Below are 21,992 nucleotides of genomic sequence, written 5' to 3' on the forward strand. Positions count from 1 at the left end.
AAGGAACCATAAGTACAAATGTAATGAGATGAGAAATTTCTTTGGTATGTTGAAGACATCAGGACAGGTGAGTAGCATGCACCTGTGTCCCAGCTACACCAGAGGCTGAGGCAGGAGGATTGTGTGAGCCCAGGAGCTTGAGGATGCAGTGAGTTATGACCATAGCACTGCACTCCATCCTTTTGTGATGTCTTTTTTTTTTTAAGAAACGTCACTGTGTTCCGGGTGACAGAGCAAGATGACATTTCTGAAAAAAAAATGGGGGGACATCACAAAAGACCATGGATAAAACTAAGTAAACCAGAGAAACAAGAAGGAAGAGAGAGAGATGAATTGGGTGCATTGGCAAAGCCAGATAATGTTAGAATGACCAGGCCATGGGAAGAGTCAGGTTCAAAACATACTTAGAAGCCACTGGAGACTTTTAAATGGGCATAGGAGGATCTGATTTGTAGTTTAGAATGATTTCTCTGGCTGCTGCGTGTAGAACAGATCCTATGTAAGGGAGCAAATGTGGAGGCAGAAAAGCTACTGCAGAGGTGATAACATTAGCTAAAAGATCACAGTATCTGGGGAAAGGGTGGTTGCGGTAGAGAGAGTAAAAAGTAGTTGGTTTCAGAATACATTTTAATGGAAATGGAATAGCAGACTGATGATTGGATAATGGGAATTGAGGGAAATCAAGGAATCCAGAATGACTTGTAAATTTTTGTTCTAAGAAATTGAGTGGATAATGATGGCATTTACTTAAATAGCAAATACTTGTGGAGGTAAATTCTGGATATGTGGGGCAACCAAGGGTTTTGTTGATGCCATGTAAACTTTGGCATGCCAATTAGATACGAAGAGATACTGAGTGGAAAGCTGGATACTCAGGGGACCACAGTCTTCTGTTTCCTGGATTTCAGGTCCCTTTTAAACTGAAGCATAGTGAGAACAAGTGTAAAGCACAACACAGACGGAAGATTGCACCTTAGCTCACTGCCCCGTGCACCCCGGTTACACCGTCTAAGAAAACACTCTGGATTCAATCCTTGGAAAAGTAGGTAGGAATTTGCTTTTCATGGAATTCAATCTGAATGGTTTATAAAAGAATCAAGTCAGTTATTCATGTGGCAGCATTATGTGCCCCTAAATTCTCTGATTTCCATTAACTAATCTCAAGTAAATAACAATAGGCAATGTGTCCAATATTTTGATCTCTCCAAACTAGTAAGAGGCTCAAGATCAGAATCAATTCTTTGCAGAAATTCCAATCTCTTCATCACTAACATGGTATTTACTCTCAGTATGTGCTGAGCTACCACTTCTGGAAGAGTCTTTCCTGGTTAATTACTTGAAACCTGTTGCATTGGGAATTTCTCAGAAAGTCTGCCTTGATGAGCTTTACTCAAGAGCCGCAACTTCACGGATCGGACAACAGAAAAGACTTCGGCAGTTACCAAATCTGAAGTACTCATTGTGCATGCTAGCAATCTGGGACTAATAAGGTTAAATTGTCTGAGACCTCAAGGTGGAAGTGACAGGTGGGTCTAGAACTCAAGTTTACCAATGACAGTCCAGTGTTATTGTCATTATCCTTTAGAATTGTTCATTTATTCATTCATCACACACTTATGAAAGTCCTATTATGTATTATATACTAAGCTTGAAGACCAAAACAAATCAGTAAGATCCCTATCTTAAAGACTCTTAGATCTAGTACATGACTTAGTATAGGTGAAGAATTTTAATATAAGACTCAGTAGATGCTATAATAAAATAATGAGCAAAACTATATAAAATCCCAGAGAAAGTTGAAACTTATTCTGTCTTGGATCTTTGGAAAATCCTAAAGAAATTTGCGAACTTTTATAGGGAGTCTTATATAATGAAGAAACGTTTACTAGGCAGAAAATGGAGGGAGAGGTAGTTCAGAAAGGGATAACAACAGAGAAATTCAAAGTAGACAGAAGTGTGAATCATGGGGGAATGGAGGAAAGTGAGATTACAGAGGGGGTTTGGGGACAGACAGTACAAGCCTGGTAGACCCATCTAGGGAATTCGGAGTCTAGGAGGCCAGAAAGAGTCATGAAGCTTTGAAAGCAGGAAAGTGACAAGTTCAAATTTGTTTTAAAGCTGCTTTGGCTACAGCATAGAAATTGAGGGCTGGGCATGGTGACTCACGCCTGTAATCCCAGCACTTTGGGAGGCCGAGGCGGGCGGATCACGAGGTCAGGAGATCGAGACCATCCTGGCTAACACGGTGAAACCCCGTCTTTACTAAAAATACAAATAATTAGTCGGACGTGGTGGCGGGCACCTGTAGTCCCAGCTACTTGGAAGACTGAGGCAGGAGAATGCCGTGAACCCAGGAGGCGGAGCTTGCAGTAAGCCAAGATCGGGCCACTGCACTCCAGCCTGGGCGACAGAGAGAGATTCCATCATCTCAAAAAAAAAAAAAAAAAAAAAAAAAGAAATTGAGCAAAAGAAAGAGAAGCTGTCGATGGGGTGGTAGCTGTATGTTCACAGACATGTGCACCATATTGCTATGCTGTTGCAGTTTTGGAAGAGCGCTTGTGCTTCTGCCACTAAGTACTCGCACAGTTTTACATTAAAAATCTCTTATTGAGAGCTTACTAGGAGCAAAACAGCAAGGAGAGTCCGGCATGGTGCGGAGATTTCCATCTTCTTGCCCAGGAAAATGTTTATAAGGAAAAAGAACTAAAGAGATTCAAAGTGAGGACAAGGCACTGTTGAAGAAATTAGAATGGCTTTTTGGAGTAAATAAAATTTGGCATGGAGGGGTGATGGATATACAGGACTTTTGTAAGTAGAAGAGATTGACTGCTCTGACCAAAATGTCTTCCCTAACGCGCCCACTAAAATGCAAGCTAAAAATTGAGATTAGGGCCAGGCGCGGTGGCTCACACCTATAATCCCAGCACTTTGGGAGGCCGAGGCTGGCGGATCACAAGGTCAGGAGATCAAGACGATCCTTGCTAACACGGTGAAACCCCGTCTCTACTAAAAATACAAAAAATTAGCCGGGCGTGGTGGCGGGTGCCTATAATCCCAGCTACTCAGGATGCTGAGGCAGGAGAATCACTTGAATCCAGGAGGCGGAGCTTGCAGTGAGGCAAGATCGCGCCACTGCACTCCAACCTGGTGCCCCAGCGAGACTCCGTCTCAAAAAAAAAAAAATATATATATATATATATGTAGAAATTAGAGTGTCTATTTCTAACTTCTCTTCACTATTTCCTTCTTAGAAGTCAGAATGAAAGAAGTGCTCTAACAGTGTCGTCAACCTCGATTAAGCCTCAATCAAGCCAAAATTTGTGCTTGAAAAACCTAAAGAGGAGAACTACCACTGTTTATTTTTGTTACATGATGGCAAACAGTATGAGTCATGTTTCCATGGAATTGACTAGCTGCAGGGGCAGGTAGAAACTCAGCCAAAACAATAGAGTTAGAATTCTAAGGCTTTGGCGTGCACTCAACCTGACTGTAGATAATTCAGCTAATTTTTCCTTCAAGGTTTCCAACCATAAGCCCCTAGGAATAAAGCACTATCTGATTGTCTCTGGCCATTTTAAAGTTCGCACCAACAGGTTGGTCTAGATAGGCTTATTTTATTTTGAAACTAAGCCCAAGTCCAGTTTGAGTTAATGTCAGAAATATAACCCAAATCATTAATCAGTCAATCTATTTATCAAAGCTTGCCCCATCTGTAAATAATTAGTTGCAGCCCATTTTACACTGTGGGTAAATAAAGTGTTTCTATTGCTCTCTTGGTATTGTTTCTGAAAAGCCATTGTTGTCACCTCTTATATATGGCCATGAGCAAGCTCTCAACAGCATAACTGGAAGACCAAAGAAAGAAATTAACTGAGCCATCCTGCATTAGTAAGGAAGGTGCTGATAGATAGCAGCAAAATCAAACAAGTTAGGAGTGGACCAGACAAGAGGGCCTTCTCTTTCAGTTACGAATGCATCTGGCCTGTGTCCATGGCTAGATCATATATCTGACAATATCCTCCCTTTTAATGCTTTGCAGATCCAAGGTATAGTATCATACCCTAAGACTGAACTCTCCAGGGAAATTATGTCAAGCCATAGCCAAGAAAGTAGGATTGTAAAAATCACCCCAGGAACCAGCTGCCTGGATTTCACCTTCAGAAAACAAGGGAGAACATGGGCCAAAAGGTGGCGCTGTGAGACTGAGAATAATGCCCGATGCTGCACTTTAGTCTCAAGTCTCTGAAAATATGCTCAGCACTTACCCCAGGGGGAAAAAAAAAAAAATAGAAGTTAGCTTTATTTTTAGAATTTATCTCTGTGCACTCAGGATGGACTTAAGATTCCCATAAACTAATCTTCCTTGTTGATTATGTGTAGACAACAGATTCCCAGTGTGGGCAGGAAACAAAATAATTTTTATAAAGCCTCTGCGTCAAATGTATTCATTATTTGGATCTTTTGACCTGAATGGCAGTATTATTTTATAAGAATGGAGAAAATCAACATGGCTTCTAAAAAAGATAAGGTTTCTGCAAACTATTGGGAAAATGACTTGGCAGGCAATTAGGAATATTGATCTGTGCCGATGAGAACATGAAACAAATAGTCCCGCAGATTTCACATAGGGTGTTGGAGAACGCACCTTTTACAAAGAGAGATCTCATTGTTCAGCACTGTTGGAAATATAAGTGGGCATTCTTTGACCACAGCTAAGCTCCCAACATTTTAAAAGGTCTGCAGAGAAACTGAAATGTAGAAAAGCCCCATTGTGGCCGGGCGCGGTGGCTCACGCCTGTAATCCCAGCACTTTGGGAGGCCGAGGCGGGCGGATCACGAGGTCAGGAGATCGAGACCATCCTGGCTAACACGGTGAAACCCCGTCTCTACTAAAAATACAAAAAATTAGCCGGGCGTGGTAGCGGGCGCCTGTAGTCCCAGCTACTCGGGAGGCTGAGGCAGGAGAATGGCGTGAACCCGGGAGGCGGAGCTTGCAGTGAGCCGAGATCGCGCCACTGCACTCCAGCCTGGGCAACAGAGCGAGACTCCGTCTCAAAAAAAAAAAAAAAAAAAAAAGAAAAAAAAGAAAAGCACCATTGTGTCTATGTGACTGAGTTTCTTTCTAGCCAGGAGTTTCGTGGAATAAACATCAAAGCTCCTGCTTGCATTTATGGCAAAGGAGATCACATTCTCCAGCAAACCTTATTCCCTGAGCACCGAATATGTACATCATATTGCGCCAGGGGCCAAAGTGAGACAAGTACATCCCAAGTTCATTCTCCTTGAGCCACCCCTAAAAAAAATACACCAAATAAGAGACCTGTGATACCTTCTTGATCATCAACGTAATGGGATCTCATGCTATTAAGCTAAGACAAGTTCTATAAGCCCAAATTTCTGGTCTCTTTAAATCACCATAGTAGGGTTTTTCTGGTTGAAGTTCATTAAAATATATAACCTCAGAATCTGAATGGACCCAAATGATTACTTACATTTATTTCACTCTGGGTTTTTGTGTCTGTAATGATGCCATGTACTTTACAAATCTTTTCAAATCTTTAAAAGATGTATTATCTTTGCATATTAACAATCCATTGGGTTTGTCCCTAATTTAAAAATAAAGAAATAGGCCGGGCACAGTGGCTCACACCTGTAATCCCAGCACTTTGGGAGGCCGAGGCGGGCGGATCATGAGGTCAGGAGATCGAGACCATCCTGGCTAACATGGTAAAACCCTGTCTCTACTAAAAATACAAAAAGTTAGCCGGGCGTGGTGGCGGGCACCTATAGTCCCAGCTACTTGGGAGGCTGAGGCAGGAGAATTGCTTGAACCCAGGAGGCAGAGGTAGCAGTGAGCTGAGATCGCACCACTGCCACTGCACTCTAGCCTGGGGGACAGAGCGAGACTCTGTCCAAAAAAAAAAAAGCAGGTTAGAAAAATTTAGTGATTTGTTCAAAACTAATTAATAAAAGACAAAGCCATGGATTTTAATTCAACTATATATGATCCTAGAGTCTGTGCTGTGCCAAACAGTTTTCAAGACCTGAAAAATCATGTCGTCGAGTCTACACACCAAAAGAGATTGTATCAGCTGCCTAACATGCCCACTAAATATTCACTCAGTCTCCTAAACACAAGAAACTCACTCCTTTCTGAGGCAGGTCGTTGCATTTTTGAGCAATTTTAGTTATTTGAAAACTCTGATGATCACATTTTCAAAGAATGGCAAAACCTTGATGTAGAAATGAAAGAGATAATTGAAAAAATCCAGGAAATTCAGAAGCTGCGGCTCACAAATTCTTTTGCCCACTTTAATTTGAATGTTTTAGCTCCTGTGAATGATGCATGAAGCCGCTGACATTGCAACAGATGGCGCTTTGGAAGAGATTCCTTTCTGAACTGCCTGGCCCTCTTATGGAAATCCTGTGAGGGGTGATCTCTGGTGACCAGGCTCAGCAGGAAGAGGAATGTGCATCCGACCTTGTGCGGAAGGTGTCCCCCAGCTGTTTTTGCAAATATCTGTTTTGTCACGGGGGTGGCTAGGTCACAAAACCTAGAGTGGCTCATGGCTTCATAGTAATATAAGTCTACCAACCTCCAAGACAGACTTCAAATCTCACTGTCAAAAGCACCTAATTGCTACATCTACTGAGCCCAGCAGGTCCTATGATAAAATTCAGTGCATTACATACTGACCTAATTCTTATCTATTCCTTTCCCAAACCCTTTTTCCATCTTCCTTTGCCTTCAAAATCAGGAATATGAAACTGTATCCATACAGCATTGCCATGTAAATTACTGGATGCACAGATACATTTGAATTGCAGATCAACAACTCATTTTTTAGTATAAGCACAGGACATGCTCACACTGAAAAATACTTGTTGTTTGTGTGCAATTCAAATGTGACTGGGCATTCTGTGTTTTTATTTGCTAAATCTGGTGACCCTAACCCATACAACAGCAAATCTATATTTTATTAAAGTATAAATGAGTACATTATTGTATATAACAGCTGTATTGAACGATTTTTGAATAGAAAAAGTCAAACTATGTTCCAAACATCTTTTAAATCTTTTTATAAGGCCAGGGATCCCTTTGTAATTAGTAAAACGAAAGCACCCCTGGATTTGTATAAACTCAGGTTTCCATACCTCAGATCCGTTTGAAGTGAAGCACTCTCAAATTCCCTCAGTTAGTGATAATGGTGGTCCTTACAGGAAGTACCTTTGTTTCATTCCCTAACATTTGTTTTCCTCACCAAGGTGTTACCATTAACTTTGAATGGGTCAAGTTCATGCTCCCCCAATGCTGCCTCTTTATTGACTTGTCCTGCTCTATGTGGATGAAGAGGCTCCAGAGATCCTAAAGCTGTACTCTGGACATAGCTTAGTGGCAAGCACAGGGAAAAGTGTACAGAGGAAGACAATAGGCTGGAATCGGAGGCTTCCAAAAATAAAATTGATTTTCTTTCTTTAAGAATTCCCAACTTTGTCTTAGGGACAAAGCCGCTGGATTTAGCAAATAAAAATACAAAGCACCCAGTTAAATTTGAATTTCAGATAAACAACAAGTAATGTTTTAATATAAATGTCTTGTGTATTGCATGAGATACCCTTATACTTAAACATTACTCATAGTTTATCTTAAGTTCAAATTTAACTGGCATCTTGTGTTTTATCTGGAAAGCTTACCTGGTAACATGGGGAGCTGCTTGCTGTCCTCAGCACTGAGGTGTAAAATATGTAGGATGACTGGCACAAAATAGGCAACAACAATAGCAACAAATAAACAGTCACAACAGCAGTAGCAGCACTCAACAAACGCCAGCCTGGATAGATTTCCTTTAAGGCCCAAGAAACGGTTTCCAAGTGCTCCTCTCAAGCTGGGCTCTTCCTTTATATTGCCCCCTGCTATGGTTTCAGTGTGTCCCCTCCAAAATTCAGGTGTTGCCTATGTGATGGTTTCAAGAGATGGGGTCTTTAAGAGGTAATTAGGTTTCTTCATCTGAAAAATGGAATTGATGATGGTAATAGCCTCCCAGCATTCATCCCAGGATATTCATGAGAAGCTTTACCATTCAAGGGCCTTGTGTATGTAAATGATTATGCTACACTTATTTTTCAGGTCTGGTTTCCTCTAATAATAGAAACAATAAACTGTTTGATATTTCTTGGCATCATTAATAAATCAAAAGTATGTTCCCCTTGTGTTCTATATTTTGCAAAATAATGAGGAAAAGAAAGAACAGGGTTACTGAGCTCTTCGTTGGAATTTTCAGGGAGTTTTGGGTAGAAATTAAAACCAAGAGTAATTAAAGCAGCAGTTCACTGACTGAATGATCATCAGACTCAACTGTAGACCAGGTAGAACTTGAACGCCCAGATCCAGCATACACTTGCTGAATTAGGATGTTTTGGGGTGTAACTTGGAAGTGTGTCCTTTGTAAAAGTTCCATAGGTCATTCTGATGATCAGCCAGGCTTGGGAATGACTGATCTAGGTGGAGGATAAATACGGGTTACCTGATCGATGTGATGTCTTAATTAGTAGATACATGTAACAATTGCTCCCTTTTCACCATTTCCACATGCCTTCCTCTCCCAGGAAGAAATGGCCACAACTCACCACTCACAACCCCAGATCTGTTTAGTTCCTTCATTCTTACCATGTTATAATCTGGCCAGCCAGAGGATTTAGGAATTGATTAATTTAGGAATCTAAATTGATAATTTAGAGAGATATCTAGGAGGTAAAAGTCAGGAGGATTTGATAGTAGATTGAAAGTGAAGAGGGAGAAGAAAATGGTAAGAAGAATGACCTGTTTTCTTGTTTGAGCAACAGAGTATGTGAACACATGGATCCTTCTCAGAGAGATGGAATTTAAAACAAGAGGGTGGAGTCAATTGTTTTAGTAGATACGTGTGACAATTATTCCCTTTTCACCATTTCCCCATGCCTTCCTCTCCCAGAAAGAAATGGCCACAACTAAGAAATAAGAAACAAGTTTGGAGATGCAGGCAAAGTCTCTATTCACCCACTCATTCAACCATCCAATTATATCCTTCAGCACTAACAGAGAAAAACCTCTTCAGACACTGGTGCTTTCCACAGCTCTTCTCAGGGGTCAGTCTGGTAATGAGTTTGGGACTTCAAAACATGCCATGCAGCCAGGCAAACTGCTCCTCTATAGTAGTCATGAGGACCTCCACACTCCTGAGCCCAACAGACATCTTTCAATTCTCATGGTACCTGACAACTGCATTGCATTTGATAGGGTTCTTTCCATTCTCCTGGTTTATTTTCATTTCTCCAAATATAGTTTTTTTTCCCTATCACGTCCTCCACCAATTTGACCTCTTCAGTTGGAATTCCTCAAGCCTCAGTTTTGAGCCCCCTTTTCCTCTTACTCTATGCTTTCTGTCAAAACATTTGACTCCACACTCTTGTTTTAAATTCCATCTCTCTGAGAAGGATCCATGTGTTCACATACTCTGTTGTTCAAGAAAGAAAACATGTCATTCTTCTTGCCATTTTCGTCTCTGTCTTCACTTTCAATCTACTACCAAATCCTACTGACTTTTGCATCCTAGATAGCTCTCTAAATCATCAATTTCATTTTGTTTCTACCATCATCATCCAAACCCAAGCCACAGCCAGTACTCACCTGGCTCCCAAAGGCTATCTTTGCTTCCACTTCATCATCCAAACCCAAGCCACAGCCAGTACTCACCTGGCTCCCAAAGGCTATCTTTGCTTCCACTCATGACACTCCCATCTTGCCCCTGTTTTCCAAGGAGCAATTAAAACAAATGTTTAAATATTTAAATCATGTTTTCTCTTCTACTTAAAATGTCTAATTTAGTGGCTTCCTTGCATACTTAAAGATACAACATTCTTAATAGAAATCCCAAAGCCTCCATTTACCCCGCACTTAATTGACATTTGCAGACTCACCCTATACCACCTCCTCCCTCTCGTCAGGCTGTAGATACACCGGCCTTTCTAAAATTACTGACATTCACCAAGATCTGTTCTCTAATCTGCTATGGACTCTTTCTGAAATGCCTTTCCTCCTCTCTGGAGATCATCTCTACCCCTTCCTCAGGTCTCATATTTAACAGTTCTTCCTCAGGGAAACCTGTACTTCTCTGCCTGTACTATACTTTCCTCTTAACAGATATCACTCCCAGACTCATATACATATATATATATATATATTTGAGACAGAGTCTGCCTCTGTTGGCCAGGCTGGAGTGCAGTAGCATGATCTCAGCTCACTACAACCTGTTCCTTCTGGGTTCAAGTGATTCTTCTGCCTCAGCCTCTCGAGTAGCTGAGATTACAGATATGTACCACCACTCCTGCTTAATTTTTGTGTTTTTAGTAGAGTTGGGATTTCACCATATTGGCCAGGCTGGTCTTGAACTCCTAACCTCAAGTGATCCATCAGCCTCGGCCTCCTATGGTGCCAGGATTACAGGCATGTGCCACCATGCTCAGCCCCACACTCACATTTTTATATGTGTGGCTCTCTATTTAATATGTGCTTCCCCCACTTACTGTGGACTCCCTAAAGCATGGAACATATTTGTTGGCTTACCACTGTGAAATTAACAGAAAACTGGTACTTATGAAATACTCGTTGAATATTTGTTATATAAATGAACTGATATATGAATAAATGGAGGAAAAAGAGCCACTCCCCATCTTTTACTCCTTCTCACAGTATTGCAGGTTTGGCTTGCATTTCGAGATTTTGCTTTCTTTCTATCTGAGGTGGTTCTCCCAGGTCCAATTATACCTGAGCTTCCCCTGCTTCTTTTGCAGCTCTGGCCAAGCCACTAGATTCCTCTGAATGTTAATCAAGCCATCTGGAAAATAGGGCATGAAATTGTATGTCCCTGACTAGCAGCAGATGCAGCAACTGAGCTGAGCTGTGTTTCCTTTTCAGTAACTAATTGCACACATGCTGCAATACAGAGAAAAACATTATAAATCAATTAGGCTATTACAGCAACATTGTGCTCTGTAACTAGAGAACTAGGCCTTGTGTTGCATAGTGGGAGACAGGAGCACCTGATTCTCCTTGCAATGGCCTTGGATAATTACTTACATCGTTGCATTTGATTGTCTCACCTCCAATGCAGGTTTCCAGGAAGATTTGTTTACTGATCTTTCTTAAGGGATTTGATTTCCTGGATTGGCAGGTGTCATGTTGCTGGAGGAAGACAGTGGCTTAAAAGTATTATTGAATAAAACACACATGTAAGTGTTTGATGCTCATGCTGTCTTCAACAGTCAAGGTCAGAGCTTAGTTGGTGCTTTGGGCCAGAGTTACAGGAGCAAGGGGAATGTGAAACCATGAAGTAGCTGTGGAGTTGGCAATGTCCCCAAATGCCCAAGGCTTAGGAGACATTTATATGGGCATAATAGAAATCAGATGAGCTGGATTTTGGGGAGGTGGAGAGAGGGAGAGTGGAGAGAGGGGACTGTAAAAGGTACTTAGTATTCTCTATTTCTCCTCCTTGCTGTCTTTGTTTTAACTTTCATGGGAAGTGAACTTATAGAGAAACTTATAAGTGAACTCGAATGTGCTTCTGGAGATAAATCTTTCACATTTTTACAGTCCACAGAGGAGGGGGTAGGCAAGAGAAAGAGGCCAGAGTTTTACTAAAGATAAAGGAAATGTTGTAAAAGAAGGTAAATATGGATTTTAGAAGAAGCCTCTAATACAATTGTTGGATAGTCAACGAGTTTGTTGGAAATTTGCAAAGCTCATCTGGATAATTTGGATGAGAATGTTGCCATCAGGACTAATGTTATTTGAAAGGGAATGCAGACATGTTGTGATCAACTTTTCTCTAATTATGCCATGTGTTAATTTTGTCTTGTCACACAGTTGTCCTCAATCCTGGCTGCACATTAAGTGATGTGGGAAGCTTCATAAATAGAGCAATGTTCCTAGGATCTCTGGAGGTGGGACTTAGGCATTGGCATTCTTTAAAATTTCTCCAGATCATTCTCTTATGCAGTAGTGTTAAGAGCAGAGAACTATAACCAAGATCTTGAAATCAGGAACTTCGATACATACATAAATTATCCCATTGAGCCCCTGGATGTTCATATGTATTATCTCTGTTTAATATTCACAGTTTGTCTCCATGAGGTCATACAGCTGCTTGAGGTTGCTCGGAGAGTAAGAAGCAGAATGAGAACTAGAACAGAAGCTCACTTTGGCCTGAAGGCTCATGTGCTGAGCATCTTCCCTTGTCTGTCTCCACCCCTAGCCTGGTGCCCAGCATGTAGAAGACCTTCAGTAAGTACCAGGTTGCTGACTAAGTAACTGAGGAAATGACTCACAATTGGACCATTCCCATGCTGAAATTCCACAAGAATCTTGTTATCGCCTGCACATTGCTTAGGCAAACATAATTCTAGACAAAAATGGAACCCCAGAAATCTCAGTCAACATCCCTCACTCAAAGCCTAGCACCTGGCTTCCTTCTAACAGTGCCCTCTGTTGAGTGTTCACCTGGGATTTCCAGGACTGCAGCTGCTGTCTCTTTATAAACCCAGGCCTGGGTCACAGGGTGGGGAGAAAACAATGAGTGTTTTGGTTGTTTGGTGATATCCGGTGCCACTTTGTGCCGCTTGTTGCAAATTCAGTCCCATTTCCTGTGAACTGCCTCCTTGGGCTTGACTCCCCAGCACCATACAGGGGCTTCAGGGACACTTGGAAAACAATCTGTGCTCTGACCTCGGTGTCCCTGGACCTATCAATTGCCTAAGGCAGGGAGACTGCTCATACTTCAAGTAGTGGCCTGGGGACAAGATGGATCAGGAAGTAGAAAATAGAAAAGGATGGGGGTGAGGAGCCAGGGCAGGAGAGGAAGGTTATAAGGAGGAACAATGAGAGATGGACAGCTTTTTATTCTCTACAGAATGGGCTGTTTCCTAGACGTCACGGGATCATCATGTGGTGGAGATTGCAAGAGGCCAGTTTGGGGGTGAGGAGGGATTGCCGAGTACATATTTTATCACTGTGATGTGACTCAAGGGCGTCATTCCCTGTAAACAACTTTTGAGTAGGAGGGTTTTCTCTGGATAAGAAATTAACCAGTTAGCAGTCAAGAAATGGCAAAAGCTCAAGTAACAATTCTGTATACTTAACAAAATACTGTTAAACTCATTCATTCATTCGTTCAGCAGAAGTATGTCCAGGTACATCTCTGTACAAGGCATTGGGCTGATTGTCAGTTATATAGCAGCCTCCAAGAACAACATCATATTCGACCCCAGGAACTATAGTCCAGTGGGAAACACAGACATTGAACAAAAAGTACAATGTGAAGAATATAGTAGGAGGAAAGAAACAGGAGCATGCATTATGTCATTTATTATTATTTTTATTTGAGACAGAGTCTTGCTGTCAGCCAGGCTACAGTACAGTGACATGATCTCATCTCACTGCAACCTCCACCTCCCAGGCTCAAGTAGTTCTCCTGCCTCAGCCTCCAGAGTAGCTGGGATTACAGGTGCCCACTACCACACCTGGCTAATTTTTGCATTTTTAGTAGGGATGGGATTTCACCATGTTGGCCAGGCTGATCTCGAACTCCTGACCTCAGCTAATCCGCCGGCCTTGGCCTCCCAAGATGCTGGGATTACAGGCATGAGCCCCCATACCCGGCCTATTTTTTAAATACAACTTTTTGATGATTAACCTCATTATAAACTTCATTTATTAATGCCATTTCACATTGAGGATCTGAGAGGTTAGGTGGTCAGGACTTGAACATGCACATTCCGCCTTAGTTCCTCCTCTCCTGTTACTCTGTAATCAATACCACAAAACCTCCCCAGCTCAGCTGCTTTCCACCCTTGTGGCCTGAGGCCTGAGACTGCTTCCACCATACTGAATACCATTCTGTGGTGCTTCAATGTTAACCCCTGTCATAAGCAACAGGCTCTGCAATAGTGTCCCCTGGCTTCTCAGCCCAATGCCTAAGGTGACCGACGCTCAATCAGCAACGCAATTATGCAATGAAAACAGCTACACAGGGAAAACCAGAACCATGAAAGTGGGTCAGGTCCAAACCATCTTTGTACCATGTGGCTTGCAGAAACCCAGATCTCGTTTGCTTGCTTGCTGATGCTGAATTTGGGGATATGCATGCCTTTTAAAATAAGAAAGTATTTATTCTTAGATGCTCTTAGACTGTTTTGAAGCTAGAGCCATTGTAGTTTTGCACACTTACTTCATAAAGGAACTGTACCTATAGTTTAAAAGTTGTTATTTGGTAATTGTCATGTAATGATTATCTCCTTGCTCTCCTTACCACTCTGATTGTATACAAGTTGATTTCCCTGTTTCAGGAGGGGTTTTCTGATGCATATACTATAGACAATCTTCTCTATTTACACTTCAGTTTTTAAAAAACTAAGCTTTTTTTTTTAAAAAAAGTGAAAGTCATAATCTGTTTCTTTTCAAAGTCCTAGATGCAATGGGATTAAACTTGGAGAAAATGGGATTAAACTTGGACAAACACTACCTATTTGGACTTGTGATGATGGCTTTCAAACTTCTTAAAGCAATGAAGTATTTTTTCCAGAAGAAACCTTACACAAGAAGCCCAGCACACTGAGTCAAGCATATGTAGGTGGAAGATATCTGGTTGAGACCAAGTAGAGATAAACCTGTAGATTCAACTGTGCCACCACAGTGAATTCTAAGAATCCACTGACTGTGATCTGTAAGCTCCTACTCCACAGGAGGTCAGGGCACACAGCTTGAAACCGGAAGGCAGAAGAGTGACAGGGAAGGGTCATGGACTCTGAAATTAGAGCTATCTGTGTTTTAATACTAGTTCCAATAGGCACATGGTCTTGGATAAATGGTTTAAATTATCTGAGTCTCAATTTCTTTCTCTGCAAAAAGGGATGATTAGTACATATGTAATAGGGTTTTTATAGAAAATTGTATAACTTGTTAAACACACATGTACTAAGTGCTTGGTGCCCAGTATGCACTGAATAAATGCTAGCTCCTTGCCTTTCATCTCTATGACCCTTCCCAAATCTCTCAGCCCCATATTGCTTCATGTAGTGTGTGTATATTTGGGAAAATTTGTGTGCATATTTACAGATGGGATCCTACTCTTCTATTGACAGACTGTCTTTTCAGATGTGCCTTACTTTCATTGCATTGGTTTTTCAACTGAAAGTGAACATAAAGGTTTTAAGCATGCCTAGGTCTTATCTTTTTGGTCAAATATCTAACACCCTCAATAACAGTTGTAAATCATTCTTTTGTAATTTGATCATTCATTTTTATAAAGTAAAACACAACTGCCCACTGTAAAAATAGACTTCATTTGCTCTTTTCTTCCAGTGCAGCAAATGACAGACACTTTAAGAACACACATTTAACTTCAGCAAACAAATCATGTATATTTTAGACATAACTGTCAAGTATAGAAATGATACCATCCAACTTACCAAACTATCACATAAGAATGCCCAATAGCAGACATTAGGATGGGGCAAAACTGAAAGAAGGATTGACTTCATCAAACCCTTGATGACATACAAAATGGAAACCATTCAAGTTCAACTGAAGAAAACGATATCCCACAAGATCTAGGGGTAAAAAGCAGACAAAGTTTAGGAATGAATTTAAACTACTGACTTACGTGTTGTCAGGAGTCTATTTCTATTCCTCAATTTTACTCCTTTTTGTACAACTGTGTGCATTCTCTCTCTGACTCTCTCTTCCTCCCTCCCAACACCCCCCACCCTCTTCTTGTTGCTGTTTCTCTCTATTTCTTCAGATCAAAGGGTTGATCTCTTCCAAATGTACATATTACAGATCCACACTCTTAGAAAAACAACAGAATCTCTCTAGTGCTTAATTTAATTTGTCCATCTAAAAGATATTACTTGGCCCAATTTGACCAAGCACCATCTACTGGACCAAATAATGGTGGCCAGAGAAGCATGGTCACAATGGGGAATGGGAATAAGATGGGGATCATATGGGGACTAAGAATGGGCAAGAACATCTCCCAGAGTGGTAAGAGAAACAATCTAATGGGCATATATTCCCAGTGTCCTCAAATACTCCTCTACCCTAAATTGCTTGCTCTGCTCTTGGGCCTTTGGATGTGCTGACCTGAGTAGTGGTAACAAGTTCAGAATTGTAGGGAAAGGGCTATGAGTTTATATTTTAAGGGCAGAGAGTGGCATTTATGCAGTGGAAACACATGGAAGATGAGTAGGATTGTGAAGGATAAACTTGGGAAAAGAACAATGACCTGAAGAGTACTAATAAATGCAGGGATGGGTGACCAGAAAGAAAGGATAGATAGGAGGAAAATCTTAGAGTAAAACTGGCAAAAGTTCACGGCCAGTTTAGTTAATGGAATCAAGGACAGTGAAAACGCAATGATAACTTCAGTGTTCTGGTTCTGATGACCAAAGAAGGTCATCATTGTGATGGATATTTTCTCTTATTTCATAACCTCTGCTCTATGCTCTGTGTGATTCCTCTCCTTCCATTCAACTTGCCTTGCATTTTCCGGAGTCTACTCCTTGGCTAAATAGGGTCCTTCTTTCTCAGTAGCCCTTACTACCGAATTAAATCATGGTGCCAGGGCTCATTCTGCTTTGTTTCTGGAAACCTGCCAAGCATGCTCCTGCCTTGGGGGCTTGCACTGATTCGTTGCTCCATATTGAAATGTTATTTGCATGGTCACCTGTGGCCCTGATATGGTTTGGCTGTGTCCCCACCCAGATCTCGAATTGTAGCTCTCATAATTCCCACGTCATGGGAGGGACCCAGTGGAAAGTAACTGATTCATGAGAGCAGGTGTTTCCCCCATACTGTTCTCATGATAGTGGTATAAGTCTCACAAGATCTGATGGTTTTTATAAAGGGGAGTTTCCCTGCACATGCTCTCTCTCTCGCCTGTTGCCATGTAAGATGTGCCTTTTCTCCTCCTTTGCCGCCCACCGTGATTGTGAAGCCTCCCCAGCCACGTGGAACTGTGAGTCCATTAAACCTCTTTCCTTTGTAAATTACCTGGTCTTGGGTATGTCTTTATCAGCAGCATGAGAACAGACTAATACAGGCTCCTATCCACACTTCCTCAGGACTCTCTCAGAGACCCCTTGCCTTACCAGCCTATGTTATTCCCAGTAGCCTTCTATCCCTGTATCTGGCTTTAGCTTATTCATGACCTGATATTTTACCATCAGGAAATAAATATAAATATCAACAATGAAAGTATAAATGAATGATATCTCTTTTCTTGACCATCCCTACACAACAGAATCCAAGTTTCATGACAGCAGGGATATGTGTGGCTTACTGCAGTACTTTTACCTCCTAGAAGTCTCCTAGGCCAATGGTAGATGCTCGATTAATATTTGTAGGATGAATAAGTGAAAAAAGTTTTGACTAGGGTCAGTAGTGTTAATCTTGGTTCAAAATAAAACATGAGGTAAAAATAAACGAGTAAGAAAAGAAACAATTTAACAGACGATGGCTTTTCCCACTTTTATGTGATGTTGCCTAGGCTTTGCCATTTTATTGAATGGACAAACTTCTTTATGACATAACTTCCCTCTCACTCTCTCCTCCCAATAGCATAAAATAATGTAAAAGTCAGGAGATCAAAATCTAGCAGACCCAATTTCAGTTCAATATAATATTGTAACATTAACCATAAAAACCATAGAAAAAAACCTAGACAATACCATTCAGGACATAGGCATGGGCAAAGACTTCATGACTAAAACACCAAAAGCAATTGCAACAACAGCCAAAAAGTGACAAATGGGATCTAATTAACCTAGAGTTTCTGCACAGCAAAATAAACTATCATCAGAGTAAACAGACAACCTACAGAATTAGAGAAAATGTTTTCAATCTATCCACCTGACAAAGGGCTAATATCCAGAACCTAAAAGGAACTTAAACAAATTTACAAGAAAAAAACAACCCCATCAAAAAGTGCGTGAAGGGTATGAACAGACACTTTTCAAAAGAAGACATTTATGTGGCCAACAAACATATGAAAAAAAGCTCATCATCACTTGTCATTAGAGAAATGCAAATCAAAACCACAACGAGATACCGTCTCATGACAGTTAGAATGGCGATCATTGAAAAGTCAGAAAACAACAGATGCTGGAGAGGGTGTAGAGAAATAGGAATGCTTTTACACTGTTGGTGGGAGTGTAAATTAGTTCAACCATTGTGGAAGATAGTGTGGTGATTCCTCAGGGATCTAGAACTAGAAATATCATTTGATCCAGCAATCCCATTACTGGGTATATACCAAAAGGATAATAAATCATTCTACTATAAAGACACATGTACACGTATGTTTATTGCAGCACTATTCACAATAGCAAAGACTTGGAATACTATGCAGCCATAAAAAATGATGAGTTCATGTCCTTTGCAGGGACATGAATGAAGCTGGAAACCATCATTCTCAGCAAACTAACACAGAAACAGAAAACCAAACACCACGTGTTCTCACTCATAAGTAGGAGTTGAAGAATGAGAACATGTGGACACAGGGAGGGGAACATCACACACTGGGTCCTGTTGAGCGCTGGGGGACAAGGGGAGGAGTAGCATTAGGAGAAATACCTAAAGTAAATGATGGGTTGATGGGTGTAGCAAACCACCATGGCACATGTATACCTATGTAACAAACCTGCACGTTCTGCACATGTATCCCAGAACTTAAAGTATAATAAATTTAAAAAAAGAAAAAAAATTGTTGTCTTCTCTGTGCCCGTTTTCTTTTATTTTAAAATGGCCTGAAATAATTTAATATGTGTTATGGATTAAATCGTGTCCCTCAAAAAGATGTTGAAATCCTAAGCCCCTTATCTGTGAGTGTGAACTTATTTGAAATAGGGCTTTTGCAGATGATTAAGTTGATATGGGGTCCCTTCAAGGGGAGCCAATAATATTGGATTACAGCTCACTATAATGACCCCATATCAACTGGGAGATACAGAGACAGGTATGTACAGAGCAAAAATTAAGTGAAGACACAGAGAGAAGATGTCTGTCTACAAGCCAAGGAACGCATGAAGCTAGGAGAGAAGTATGGAGCAGATTCTGCCTCGCAGCCCTCAGAAGGAACCGGCAACCAACCCTGCTGATAACCTTGATGTCAGACTTCCAGCCTCTAGAACAGGGAAGCCAAAATTCTGTTGTTTAAGCCACCTGGTATTTAAACCACAAGGTATTTATGGAACTTTGCTACAACAGTCCTAACAAACTAATACAATGTGAAATACACACACACACACACACAGCAGCAGCAGCAGCTCTGTGCCCAACATAGATATCTAGCTCTGTCACTTATGCTTATTTATCCATCTTTTCTCTCGTCTCTTTCCCTCCAGAAGCTGCAATGAGGAGAGGAACCTGGTTTATTTCAAGGGACACAGAGTTAGGGTTCTTCAGAAGATCACTTTCTTGTTCTACAGGCCAATAGGGGAGTAGCAGGGAACACAATTTTGTGAATGAGGAGAAAGCTAGCCATGGAGCCTTTGGAACATCTGTTGGAGTCCCCCACTTATTCAGGACCAGATGCTAATGGTGTACGCAATTGCACATGGAGGGAAGTTTCACTGACACTAATGAGCCATTCATTGTCCTGCACTCCAGGGCTCCTCCCACAAGGCCTGTTTTCAGATGTTCTACATTAAGTGAAATGCAGCACCCAGTTTCCATAGGAACTGAAGGCAAAGGCTCCCAGAAGGCCACATATGTTAGCATAGACTGATGCTCTGGGAGACTGCAGGCATTGATTCATCTGAGAGTGAATGAGCATTTTTTCACATCTGCTATTGCCAGGCACCATGTTAGGCACTAGAGACACAACCCAAAGAATAAATTCAGGGGCTGAGGCAGACAAGCAAAAATGATCATGTAAAAATGCTGTTACACAGTAAAGGGGCGGGTCACTGAGTTCACAGGATGGGCCTCTACCTAAGCTTTGAGCCAGGGAAAAACAAACAAACACGTATTCTAGAGAAGGAACCCTGTAACCTCTGAGGTGTCAAGGGCATGGAGACAAGTCAGGCAGGATGGCAGGAAGAGGACAAGGAGGCAGCTCTTCCCGACAGAGGGAGAATTGGCTGTGTCTCTAGGAATGTGGATGAAAGAAATCTAACTTGGAATGCCTGGCTTCAAAACTCAGCTGCCCTGTTGACTGTGCTCTGTGATGTGAGGCTTTCAGAAATACCTGAATTCCACCAGCCAGGATGTCCTGAAGTGTTCTAAAACCTCACCCTTCCCTCAGAAGTGTGGACTGCAGCTTCATTCAGCATTCATAAGGCTGGTTCAACGTCCAGCTCTGGAGAAAGCAAGTGCTTCTTATGTAACGTGAGGCACGTCTCCAGCAGCAGCCACCTCACATCCCAGCCCCGCACATCATGTCACACATTCCTGACTCCTCACACTACCCTAAAAAATGTGTGTTATCGAAGATTGATGTTCCCTGCCTTTGAACTCAGCCTAGGCTTTTATATGCTATTAAGGACAAGGGTAAAACCCGAGTCCCACTGTGAAAGTCATTCCAGTTGTCTCCATGGTCCATTTTCCCAGCAGGGTCACTTTGGCACACAGAGAAAGCGAAGGCCTGGGAACAGACTTGCAAGGAATTATGGAAAACATATTTGGCTGAGACACTTTGCTTGACTTCTACAATTTCCATTGTCCCTGCCCATGTTTCCAAATGACAAATGTATCTCCAATTGAGACACTGCAAAGTGCCTCGTATATAGTAGTTATTAATTATATGTGATATAAAATTATATATACATATACGCATGTAATTATGCATGTTTTTATATGTAATTATGTATACATATATAGTATGCATATGTGTATATATACACATATAGTATGCATATATGTACATATACATATATACATATATACATGTATGCATATGTGTATATATACATATAAATACATATATACAAATGTATATGTATATATACAATGTACACATGCATATGTATATATAAATATACATATACATGTATATGTATATTTGTGCATATACAAATATACATATACATGTATACGCATATAAAACATGCATATATATTAACATATTCATATGTTAATATAAAATATGGATATGTGTATATATACACATTATATAGATATATATAAAATAGAGGCAGAACTGACTTTTCTCTGCTTTAAACTTTACTGTAGCTACCAGAATGCTTTTGCATATAGTAGGATCTTATTAAGCATCTGTTGGTTGATTGACTAGCTAATTGTCTAGCTGGTGGGCAAGAAGAAGTAACTTGTCTTCGTATCACAAGGCCAAAAGTCTATAACAAAATGTTAAAGTAAATTCACCAAAACTTCTATTCCAAACAACAAGAAAAATATCTGGAACATATACAAAATTAAAGAGACAAGAAAGAAAGAAACCAGTAAGTACCTTTTTAGTCTAGAAATCTTTTTATTTAAAAAAAAGTTATTTTCTTATTTATTTATATGGCTCCAAACCTAGAGATCAGAAGGTGTTGTATGACTGGCTGGGGATATCAATGAAACAGATTATGATGTATGCATGAAGTGTGCATGCAGGCCAAAGTAGAACTTGATCCTGTGCCTCTCTGACAAAATAGGTGCTACTCACAGCTTTTACTTCCCTTTTGAAAAGGGCACTTCTCAATGAGGGGAGAAAGGGCACTTCTCAATGAGGGGAGTAGGCCAAGGGGGGTCAAGTTTCAGGACAATGTTTCAGCTCTACATGGGGCCTAGAGCAAAAGATCATAACGCACGTTTAGGTCTACACAAGATGTTTCTCAAGAAATGTTTTTGTTTAAAGTTTGTTTCCTACAATTCTCTCACGCACGTGCATGCACGTGCGTGTGCACGCGTGCACACACACACACACACACACACACACACACACAGCTTGTAGACTCTT

At 41.0% G+C, this 21,992-nt stretch overlaps 1 long non-coding RNA gene across 1 annotated transcript in view; it reads left to right on the top strand.

Annotated features, from left to right (window-relative positions):
- LINC02725 (long intergenic non-protein coding RNA 2725) overlaps positions 1–15,252 on the top strand; it is an 87,798-nt gene extending 72,546 nt beyond the window's left edge. Inside the window, exons 4-6 of the long non-coding RNA NR_183639.1 lie at positions 909–1,042; positions 12,156–12,319; positions 14,497–15,252. This is a non-coding gene — a long non-coding RNA (long intergenic non-protein coding RNA 2725). The remainder of the gene's footprint in view (positions 1–908; positions 1,043–12,155; positions 12,320–14,496) is intronic.
- Positions 15,253–21,992: the final 6,740 nt, after the last annotated feature.

The sequence above is a fragment of the Homo sapiens genome, chromosome 11 (assembly GCF_000001405.40).
Source record: "Homo sapiens chromosome 11, GRCh38.p14 Primary Assembly".
NCBI classification, from domain to species: Eukaryota; Metazoa; Chordata; class Mammalia; order Primates; family Hominidae; genus Homo; species Homo sapiens.